At 35.0% G+C, this 12,914-nt stretch overlaps 1 protein-coding gene across 5 annotated transcripts in view; it reads left to right on the forward strand.

Annotated features, from left to right (window-relative positions):
- GALNT13 (polypeptide N-acetylgalactosaminyltransferase 13) overlaps positions 1-12,914 on the forward strand; it is a 1,388,282-nt gene that overhangs the window by 720,886 nt on the left and 654,482 nt on the right. The gene's annotated exons all lie outside the window — the stretch shown is intronic.

Here is a 12,914-nt window from a genome sequence, read left to right on the forward strand (position 1 = left end):
AAATTGACCACACGCTGAAACATGAAACAATCCTCAACAAATGCAAAGAACCGAAATGACACCAAACACACTCTCAGACCACAGCAGAATGAAAATAAAATCAAGACTAAAAAATTAATCAAAACTATACAATGACAGGAAATTAAACAACCTGATCCAGATGACTTTTTTTGGGTAAATAATTAAGGCAGAAATCAAGAAGTTCTTTGAAGCTTGTAGAACAAAGATGCAACATGCCAGAATCTCTGGGATATAGCTAAGGCAGTATTACTAGGGAAATTTATAGTACTAAATGCCCACACCAAAAAGTCAGGAAGATCTCAAATTAACAGCCTAATATCACAAGTAGAAGAACTAGAGAAGCAAGATCAAACCAACTCCAAAGCTAACAGAAGATCACAAATAACCCAAATCAGAGTTGAACTGAAGATCAAGGCACAAAAGTGTATTAAAAAATTCACCAAATCCAGGAGATGGTATTTTGAAAAATATAATAGATAGGCCACTTGCTAGACTAACAAAGAAAAGAGAGAAGATCCAAATAAACACCATCAGAAATGATAAAGGAGATTTTACCACTAACCCCCCAGAAAAACACATAACAATTATAGGCTGATATGAACACCTCTATGCACACAAACTAGAAAACCTAGAAGACATGGATAAATATCTGGACACATACACCCTCCTGAGACTGAAGCAGAAAGAAATTGATTCCCTGAGCAGACCAATAATGAGCTCCAAAATTGACTCAATAATAAATAGTCTGCCAAGCAACAAAAGGCCCAGGACTAGGCAGATTCACAGCCAACTTCTACCAGATGTACAAAGAAGAGCTGGTAATATTCCTACTAAAACTATTTCAAAAAATTGATGAGGAGGGACTGCTTCCCAACTCATTCTGTGAGGCCAGCATCACCGTGATACCAAACCCTGGCAGAGACAAAACAAAAAAGAAAACTTCAGGCCAGTATACTTGATGAACATCTGTGCAAAAACACTCAAGAAAATACTTGCAAACTGAATCCAGCAGCACAACAAAATGCTAATCCACCACAATCAATTAGACTTTATCCCTGGGATGCAAGGTTGGTTCAACATACACAAATCAATAATGTGATTTATCACATAAACAGAACTAAAGATAAATATTACATGATCATCTCAATAGAAGCAGAAAAGGCTTTCAATAAAAAGCCTTTATTATGTTAAAAATAATATAGGCTTTATGTTAAAAAACTGTCAATAAACTAGGTATTGGAGGAACATACCTCAAAATAATAAGAGCCATTTATGACAAACCCAAAGCCAACATCATACTGAATGGACAAAGGCTGGAAGTATTTCCTTTGAAAACTGGCACAAGACATGGATGCCATCTCTCACCACTCCTATTCAACATAATATTGGAAGCCCTGACCAGAGCAATCAGGCAAGAGGAAGAAATAAAAGGAATCTAAATAGGAAGAGAGGATGCCAAACTATCCCTGTTTGCAGATGACATGATTGTCTAACTAGAAAATGCAATAGTCTCTGCCCAAAAGCTCCTTAAAATGATAAACACTTCAGCAAAGTTTCAGGATACAAAATCAACATGCAAAAATCACTGGCATTCCTATACACCCACAAAAATAAATATGAGTGCCAAATAAGGAATGCAATACCATTCACAATTGACACAAAAAGAAATAAAATACTTAGGAATACAGCTAACTATGGAGGTGAAATATCTCTAAAATCAGAATTACAAAACACTGCTCAAAGAAATAAGAGATGACACAAACAAATGGAAAGATTTCATGATGAAGATACTAAAAGCATGGCAACAAAAGCAAAAATTGGGGATCTAATTAAACCTAATTGTTTTCTGCATGGCAAAATAACTTATCAACAGATTAAATAGGCATATTACAAAATGGAGAAAATATTTGCAAACTATCCATCTGACAATGATCTAATAACCAGCATTTATAAGAAACTTAAACAAATTTGCAAGAAAAAAAGCAAACAACCCCATTAAAGTGTGGACAAAAACCATGAACAGCCTCTTCTCGAAAGAAGACATACCTGTGGCCAACAATAATATGAAACAAAAGCTCAACATCCCTGATCATTAGAGAAGTGCAAATTGAAACCATAATGTGATACCATCTCACACCAGTCATAATGGTTATTATTAAGTTGGTGCAAAAGTAACTGGTTTTTGCCGTTAGTTTTGCACCAACCTAATATTAAAAAGTCAAAAAATAACAGATGCTGGTGAGGTTGTGGAGAAAAGGGAATGCTTATACATGTTGATTGGAGTGTAAATTTCCTCAACCATTGTGGAAAGCAATGTGGCAATCCCTCAAAGAGTTAAAAAGAGAACTATTCCATCCAGCAATCCTATTGCTGAGTATATACACAAAGGAATATCAATTTTTCTACCATAAAGACGCATACATGTGTATGTTCATTCCAGCACTATTTACGATAGCAAAATATGGAATCAACCTAAATGCCCATCAGTGGTAGAGTGGATAAAGAAAATATGGTATGTCTACACCATGGAATACTATGCAGCCATAAAAAAGAACAAGATTATATCTTCTGCAGGAACATGGATGGAGTTGAAGGCCATCATTCTTAGCAAACTAATGCAGGAATAGAAAACCAAATATCACATGTTCTCATTTATAAGTGGGAGCCAAATGATGAGAACACATGGACATAAAGTGATACTGGAGCATACTTGAGGGTGGAAGGTGGAGGAGGGGGAGGATTAGAAAAAATAGCTATTGAGTATTAAGCTTAGTACCTGGGTGATGAAATAATCTGTACAACTAACCCCAGTGACAAGAATTTACCTATATAACAAACGTACACATGTACCCCTAAACCTAAAATAAAAGTTAAAACATGGAAAAAAAATAAATATTGTTTGTAATCCTACTACATGTTGGTAACCACCATAAACTTTTGGCCTTTATCTTTTCAGTATTTTTCTATATGTATGTAATTACCATCAGTCCTCTGTATTTGGTGGGTTCTACATCCATGTATTCAACCAACTGAGGATTGAAAATATTTTTAAAAAAGATAGTTCCATGGTTGCATTTATACTGAAAATGTACAGACTTTTTTTTCTTGTCATTCTCCAAACAATATAACAACTATTTATATAGGATTTACATTGTTTTATGTATTATAAATAATCTAGAGGCTATTTAAAGTATACAGGAGGATGTGCATGGGTTATATGCAAATACTACATGATTTTACATAAGGAACTTGAGCATTTATAGATTTTGGTATTCACAAGGGGTCCTGGAACCACTCCCTAAAGAAACTAATGGCCAATCCTCTTGATTTAATTATTTAATTTGGGATTATATTTTATATTGTATGATAACCTGCTTTTATCACTTAAAATTCATGCTGAAAATTTTACACATTTTCACATTTTTCCAGGCATGATTTTTAATAGCTACATAATAAATACTTGTATGGGTATACTCTAATTGGTATAATCTGTTTGCTACTATTGGTCATGAAGGTGATTTTCCTATATCATAGAAATCCTCATTTGTATTTTACCCTCTGTCATTGAGAGAAATTCCTAGAAGAGAATAGGAATATTCTTAAGGCATTTGATTTGTATTGTCAAATTGTTCTGCAAAAAAGTCGTATTACAAATTTGGGAAGAATTGGGGTATTTACAAAATGCATGCTTCCTAACAGAAACATACTAGGTCTCTCCATTTATTTAATTCAACTTTGGCGTTCTGAGGTAACATTTCTTTTCTTTCTTTCTTTTTTTTTTTTTTTTTTTGAGATGGAGTCTCACTCTGTTGCCCAGGCTGGAGTGCAGTGGTGCGATCTCAGCTCACTGCAATCTCTGCCTCCTGGGTTCAAGTGATTGTCCTGCCTCAGCCTCCAGGGTAGCTGAGACTATAGGCACATGCCACCATGCCCAGCTAATTATTTTGTATTTTTAGTAGAGACGGGGTTTCACCATGTTGGCCAGGATGGTCTTGATTTCTTGACCTTGTGATCCACCTGTCTCGGGCTCCCAAAGCGCTGGGATTACAGGCGTGAGCCACCGCACCCGGCCCTGAGGTAACATTTCATAGGTCTTAAAGGCTTTAAAAAAAATACAGGTTTTTCTACATTTTGTGTTAAGCTATGCATTTTTTATATTGTTCTTTGAGATAAAAATGTTCTTGCACTTTCTCTTTACAATCCAAACCCAGGACATCTTTTAAAATCTGAGCACAATATTAGGTACTCTAAAACTTAGCTTCTTAATCCTTTAATGGTGCAGTAGAGTTTCCCAACCCACAGCTCCTCAAATGACATGGGCAAACTATATTATTTCATATTGCTCCTTGTCTCTGTTCTCTCACTTCTGAAATCAAAGTTATAGAACTGAAACCTAATATTTTCAGTTAGAAAACACTCTTCTAAAGTTAGACAACAGTGTTGTTATTTTGCTTTAAAAAAAAAAAAAAACTAGAAAATGCCCTTCCCATATTACATGTTATGTATCAAAGGAAAATTTAAATCTTCAGATTTAAGAACTAGTAATCCACCCTGGAAGGGTACAATGAAAGGGAAATAGCATTTTCTTATACTTTATTCACACAATATTTCATTTTTCTCTATAATACCTATAATAATGCAAGCAAAATAGAAACACATGTTAAACAAATGAATAAATACTCTAGAAAGCTGGTGGTCACAATGATGCAATCTCCCACAGTGTATGTATATTTTCTCTTATAAGGAGGTTGGTCTTGTTAATGCTATATACAGTATGTTGTAACACCTCTTAGGGCGGACTACTTTGAATTTTCAGACGGTAGAAGGATTGTTCCTTTTGCTATAAAGTATCTGTTTTAACTTTAAATATCAAAGAGTTTAGTTACATTTTAGTCTGGAAGCCAAGAAAAAAAGCATGGGCAGTTTTAATCTTGAAATTCAAAACTATTCATCACAAAGAACTTAATTCTGAGATCTAGGTTAATAAACTTTTAAATTAAACTTCACCTAAAATTTAAAAAACAGAAAAATTTTGATTTAAAAATTATAAACATTAAATCATTATGTAAGGTAATATTTTAGTGTTCTACTTTTCTTTTAATTTAGGAAATTTTACTGGTGTTTCCCTTAAAATGTCTCTCTCTCCTAAGTCATTTATCTTTTAGAGTTAATTTATTATTAGTTATTCAGAAAAATGTACAGCACCATAAAAGAAAATTTCATACAGCAACCTGCAGCTAAACACAATTGTGGTTAAAAATTTTAAAACCAATGAGTGTTGGCTTATTTTCCAAGAATACACTGTGTTTGGTCGATTAGAATAACTTTTTTTTTTTTTTGAGATGGAGTCTTGCTCTGTCACCCAGGCGAGAATGCAGTGGTGTGATCTCAATTCACTGCAACCTCTGCCTCCCAGGTTCAATCGATTCTCCTGCCTCAGCATCCTGAGTAGCTGGGATTACAGGCGCCCACCACTGCGCCCAGCTAATTTTTGTATTTTTAGTACAGACGTGGTTTCACCATCTTGGCTAGGCTAGTCTCGAACTCCTGACATCGTGATCCACCCGCCTTGGCCTCCCAAAGTGCTGGGATTACAGGTGTGAGCCACCGTGCCCAGCCTGGATAACTTTTTCTTAATGTGATACTTCAGAAATTTTTTGAAGCAGAAATAAAACAAATTTAAGCAATGATAAATGTGGTTAGAAGAACTGTCATTCATATCTGGTAAAGAAATATTTTATAGACAAAATAATGCTCCAGTAGAGTTAGTTCCATTTTTTTCTTTGCCATAGTTTCAAAACACAGGTGACACTTAAATTAAAAAGAAAGAAACAAAAGGCTAAACAGACCTCACAGGTTTGGCTTTCAGCTGAGCCGGGGAGGGTGGTTGTGAGTGCCCCAGATTTGTGAACTTTTCCTCACCATGTTAGTTTGTACTCATTTCTCTTTCAAATAATTGCACTAGAAATATCTTGCTAGTGATTGACAATTCATTTATAATATTTTAATTTTATAGACAAAATAATGCTTTCACATTATTTAAAGCATTTAGTTTGATTGGAAATCTGCTGAAAATAGAGTCAATTTTTGGAAAATAATTGTACCGTACGTGATTTTGTAGAGACATTCCTTGACTAAGGTAGTGGAAAATGTGCTCCCTGTTTGCTTCCATCAAAGCTAAAAGGGACATTGTCAGTGGAGAAAACCGAGCTGAATTACCGGACCTTGGAACTGACACACACCTGCCAGTGACATGAAACTACCTGATGACCTCCTGGGCCCAAATCAAGTGATTTATTTAGAAAATCAAATCCCAGCTAGGTACTTTTTTTTTTTGTTCCTTTTCTTTAGCTTTTGGAGGGAAAAATGTATCCTGTTTAAAAATAAAAATCAAACTTTGGAAGTTTACTTTATGACCTCTACATAAAATATGCTTAATATACTCTTGGATTCTAGTCAACTTTAGGTTACAATTGATTCCTTGAAGACAGATATTCATGGAAATCCACTGTTGAAAAAGATTATTTCACATTTTTACCATCAGTTCTGTTGACTTGTTTGTGTTTTCAATGGCAAAAGATTACCCTCAATTTGATAAGCTTCATACGTTCTCCTACTATATCAAAGAAGAGAGAGCTACGAACACACGCAGTCAATTCACAATTATTCACTTAAGCTATCTGTGGCATATTTTATACCCATAATATGGTATGTATCTTGGAGTGTTCTCTTAGAATTAGTACATGCTCTTTCCTCTGTTCTTGCGTGTTTTCACCTGCAGATCAAATTGTGCCAGAATGCAAGTCGAGAAGAAAGCCCTCACCTGCACCCTGTAGAGTGTTCTTAGTCCAGGTCAGAGAGTTAAAGCGTTCACTTCTACTTCTTTTCCACATACTTGCTACTTTAGCAATGGTGGCCTTTGTGTGAAGATGATTAGTTTTATATAGATGAAGTATTTAATACAGGAAAAGACCCATTATAATGCAAGAGCATCAGTATTGTCTACTTGACTCATTTCCCATGGTCAGGTTTCTGGGATGGCACAGACTGGGAGAATGTGGTGTCAATTATCGCAAGAAGAGAGAAAACACAAGAGTGGGGAGCATTTTCTCCCTAATGCAATGTGTGCCACACACAAAACATGCGAAAGGTGACCTGTGCTGGGATCCTGCTTTATGCATTATTTAATAAAATGTATTATATCTGTCATAACTCAAATGTTTAAATTCCAAAAGCAATCAGATGACTTGGTGAAAATGATCATGTCATGTTGGAATAACTAATTTGAAGCTCTATTTTATCAATTGCCATGGTAAATCATCTTTTATAAAAATAAATATTACAGTAAAGTATAACAAAAATTATATCACAAATTTAGTACATTGAGATTTAAAGAAAGCATTCTTGGCAGTATAGAATGAAATTCAATACATGTATCCAAAAAAATTAGACAATATTGCCATAAAATATATTATTTGGTCAAAATATTCTCTGTTTCTAATGTAGTAAAGTACATATCCATAGAAGTTTGTGTAGCATCTCAGGAAGGCAAAAGTAGACATGTTGTTTCACAGTACTTTCTTTGGTGCCATACATTTTAAAAAATATATAATGGCAGGTCTTCTCCTGCCAGTTTAGAGTTAACTCAGCTTTTCCAATATGGACAAAAACCATATTTTATAATTTCCACGGATAAATGTAAATCATTAATGGGAGAAAATGAGAAAATTTATCTTCTCCCACGTGTTTGATGCAATAAGTTACAGAGTTTATTTCTATCATTAATTTCACTTTAGTCACGTTTTTTGATAAATGGAAAGGAATGTTTAAAGCTTTAATCTTATATGATCTGTATTATCAAAGGAAGAGTTAATAATGCATTTAATGAGTATTAACATGAAAGCTAGCACTCAGGCCACAATTAATGCCTACTTCGTCAGCAGATGTAGAAGACAAGTAAATAACAGAGAGCCTAATGGCAAGTCTGTTAGATGTGTCATGGACAGAGGCTTTTTGAAATTCAGTAAAAGCATCTAGTACTCAGTTTCAATCTGAAAGAACGAATGTCCAGAAGCATTGCAATTGGGCTATAAATAACTATTGGAAAGAGGTATGCTATATTTCCATAAATGGTTAGAAAGAATGACTTGGTGATGCTCTTAGTCTTCTTTAAGGTGTTACATTATAATGTGAGCAAAGGCCCTTTTTGAACTATTCTCCACACTGACAAAATAACATTCACTTTATATGGGTCACAGAAGCTCAACCATCCTAAAAATTAATCACATTGGCTCAACATGTTTAATCTCAAGGGATCCCTCGAGGACTTTTCCTATCACTCTGCTTCCTATGTCACCTCTAGTCTGCATGGGTAGAGATCAAAGGCTTAATGTGTTTCCCTGAAGAACCCATCAATTACATTTCTTTTGGTAACGGGAAGTGTGTTATAAAAGAATTAGAAACCTCCCCTTGTGATGAGAGGCTGGTACTCCTGTGGGATTCAGTTACATCTTTAGACAAGAAGCTTTGAAGTAAAGATAAAATTATGATAAAGACAGGCAGTGCAGAAGCCTGCTGTTTGACCTTGCTGAGACTCACACTCCATGCTATTGCTGGCCTATGCCCACTGAAGTATACCCATAAGCAGACTGGAAATACAATGATTTTTTTTGTCCAAAGGTGAGGTGGAATGCCTTCTATATTTTACTGTGTTTTTCTGGAGTAACTCTGACATAAGCCCTACCATCATCTAGCACCTGGCTTTTCATGGGCCACAGCATCAGCATTACTTGGAAGCTTGTTAGAAATTAAGAATCTCAAGTTATTTCAGACCTACTGAAGCAGAATCTGCATTTTAAAAATATCCCCAGAATATTTGTGTGCATGCTGAAATTTTAGAAGCCCTGCTCTACATTGTCCCTATTTGATTGAAGTCAACACATAACTCCTTTTGCGCTAGCTGGTAGCTTATCTTGATCTTACAATTCAGGATTTGCTGTGCTTATTCTCCTACTACCCTTTCCCTCTTCACTGGATAAATAGAAAATATTTGATGAGGGAACAGTTTAGCATTTACTTAAACAAATTATTTAGTTTCCAATTAAATATTTGAACAATTTTTACTATTGTATGATAATATGTATAATATAGTTTGAGTAGAGCAATTAGAGGTAAAAGGAAATGTATAAGTGAATTGAATACTTTCTGAGTTTATTACTATATATGTTCATGTTTGCATCACTGTCCAATCCTTTATGTTTTATGTGAATTCATCTACTAAGATAAATGCAGTGTTTACTTATACTGACACAATAATTGCAAATTTAATTACAAAATATTTATATGCAAACTGGCAATTTTAACAGGTACAGCATAAAAATGTCCTGGTTTAAGATACAACCAATTACCTCCTGTTTCCTAATAAACAGGGAATAATTCAAAGAAAAACTCCCGTGAAGAACCAGTTTTAATGAGAAAAGCTCACTCTAGTGTTGTATACGGAGAAATTATTTTATCTAAGTTGTTATATAACAGATGCATCAATTTTCAAATTGAACTCTTAAAAAAGTTGTCATACTTCTGGTGTATTTCCATGTTATGGTTAATTAATCGTTATTTAGGTTTTACTACCTTTTACTTAGAAGTAGTTAAACTGTTATCCCCACATTTCTATCTGCATAACATTAAGCACTATTATTGCTGATATTTTAAAGGTGATGTTACAAATGTTTGTGTATAAGCATGTGTACCCGAGAAATACTGACATATTATTTTCACATCATCTAGATATAAACTGTGTATTTGTTTACTAGTTCTAATAGGTTCTAAGGATTAAAAGTTTACAGGAGATGAAATGCAAGCTCACTGGCTGCCTCACTGGGTGACTTAACAGGTGTCCATATGAAGAAAAAGTGGGCATTGTGACCCCCATAAGAAGAAACACAGATATAAATAAAGACCATGTCTTTTGGATATTTTCCATTAAAATTTAGTATTTGGTTTTTTTCTATGGTTAGTGTTTAGTTTGTTCTATTTTTGTGTTCTTGCTAAATGTAAAACATTCATCTTGCTTCATTGACCTGGAAAAATGAAAAGGACAGCTGCATAGATCAGGGATTCTTGGAACTTCTTCAAGTGCTTTCAGACCCTGTGTACCTTCCCCAGCCTCCTCAACCAGAATGGCTTCTATAGTTACTAGAAATTGTATTCATTTATCGACATGCATACCCTGATAGTGTTTGTATATGCTAATAAAACTGGGAGTAATGCAAAGGAATCGGACAAATACCCAGGAGTCTCAACAATCACCATGTCAGGTCTCAGAGGCTGGAAAATCATCCAGAGCACAAGAATTATCAAGTAGGTGTCCATTGCTTCCTATTCAAATGCTCTGCCATTATAGTAACTATAGTCAGTTATATTATTGTCAGAAGTTATTTGCTATCCATCCCTATTAAATAATTACATTGTCTTGGCCTATATCACCGTATCAGATATGATTCTATGACTTAGTTTGGCCTATTAAATGTGAGAAAACAAGTGACAAATGGCATTTCCAAACACAGCCTCTAAGTGCTACCAGTCTTTTTCCTTAGCCATGGGAATGATATGTACCATAGGGCCCGGTCATTCAGCCAGAGTCCTGAAATGAGGAAATGGAACAAAGCTACAACTGAGACATATTGGTATATATTTGAGGGAGAAATAAGCATTTGTTTTTGTCAGGCATTGAACATTTGTGCCATTTGTTACAGTAGCATTATCTTGCCTAGAATGACTGGCATGGTCATCAGCTATTCTATGTTGCTATCAATTGATTTCTCTTATGCTTATTCCATTTAGTTTGCTCTCTCTCTCTCTCTCTCTCTCTCTCTCTCTCTCTCTCCACCCCCCACCACCACACACACATGCATATCTCAGAGAAATTGCAGGTTTGTTTCCAGACCACTGCACACTTCAATAAAGCAAATATTGCAATAAACCAAGTCACATAAATTAGGGGGGCTTTCTTAGTACATATGAAAATTATGTTTACCCTACACTGTACTTTTTTATGTGTGCAGTATTATTATGTCTATAAATTCACATACCTTAAAGAAAAAATAATAAAAAATCCTAATGATCATCTGAGCCTTCAGTTAGTTGTAATCACATTGCTGGCAGAGGATCTTGCCTCGATATTGATGGCTGCTTACTGATCAGGGTGGTGGCTATGAAGCTTGGAGTGGCTGTGAAAACTTCTTAAAATAAGACAATAATGAAGTTTGCCATATGGATTGATGCTTTATTTCATGAAAGATTTCTCTGTAACAGGAGATGCTGTTTGATAGCATTTTGCTCACAGTAGAATTTCTTTCAAACTTGGTATCAATCTTCTCAAAACCTGCAGCTACATTATCAATTAAGTTTATGTAATATTATACGTCATTTGTTGTCATTTCAACGACGTTCACAAGCATCATCACCAGTAGAACCTAACTCAAGAAACCGCTTTCTTTGCTTATCCAAAAGAAGCAACTCATTCGTTGAAGCTTTATTGTGACATTGCCTCAATCCAGTCAGATCTTCAAAGTCTACTCCTAATTCTACTTGCTATTTCCATTACATCTGCAGTTACTTCCTCCACTGAAGTCTTGAATCCCTCAAAGTCACAAAGCTATTACTTCCACATTGAAAATCTGTTGCTTAGTATATCCACCTTTACAAATTATTTTAGCTATATATTCCAGATAACTTGCTACAGCTTCTCCATCAGCACTTGCTACTTCACCTTGTACTTTTATGTTATGGAGATGGCTTCTTTCCTTAAATCTCATGAACCAATCTCTGCTACCTTCCAACTTCTCTTTGGCAGCCTTCTAATCTCTCTCAGCTTTCATAGAATTAAAGAGAGTTAGGGCTGTGTTCTGGATTAAGCTTTGGCTTAAAGGAATGTTGTGGCTTGTTTGATCTTCTGTCCAGATCATTCAAACTTTCTTGATATTAGCAAAAAGGCTGTTTTGCTTTCTTATGATTCCTGTGTTCTTTGGAGTAGATTTTTAAATTTTCTTCAAAAATTTTTCCTTTACATTCACATCTTGGCTGTTTGGCTCAAGATGCCTAGTTTTTGGCCTATCTTGCTTTTGACATGCCTTTTTTTTTTTCTATGCTTAATCATTTCTATATTTTTGATTTAAAGTGAGAGATGTGTGACACTTCCTTTCACTCGAACACTAAGAGGCCATTGTAGAGATATTAATTGGACTACTTTCAATATTGTTTTACTCAGAGAATAGGGAGGCCTGAGAAGAGTGAGATGAATGAACAGCTGGTAGGTGGAGAAGTCAGAACACACACACATTTATCAATTAAGTTTTTCTCTTGTATGGCCACAATTCATGGCACCCCAAAAGAGTTACAATAGTAACATCAAAGATTACTAATCACAGATCACCATCACAGATATAATAATAATGAAAAGTTTCAAATATTGTGAGAATAAACTAAATGTGACACAGAGACATGAACTGAGCACCCATTGTTGGAAAATTGGTGCCAATAGGCTTGTTGGACTCAGGGTTGCCACAAACTGTCAATTTATGAAACACACAATATCTGAAAAGCATAATAAACAAAGGTATGCTTGTGTATGGCTTTTTTGTATTTATTGTTTCCACTTATGTATGGTATGTATTGCTTCGTGTATTCTTTCACTGTGATTTTATTATTTTGTGTCTCCTGTGTCTTTCTGCTTCTAATTTGTACTGTCCACTCTCTAAGTTTCTCATTAATATTCTCAAGAAAATTAGTCATTTTATCATCCTGGCTGAGCAGAATGTTCATGCCTGTCCAGTTTATTGGCCATTAGTCAGCCATTATAGTCGTGTATCTGAGGACTTTTGTGGCATGTCATT

The sequence above is a fragment of the Homo sapiens genome, chromosome 2, assembly GCF_000001405.40.
Source record: "Homo sapiens chromosome 2, GRCh38.p14 Primary Assembly".
NCBI classification, from domain to species: Eukaryota; Metazoa; Chordata; class Mammalia; order Primates; family Hominidae; genus Homo; species Homo sapiens.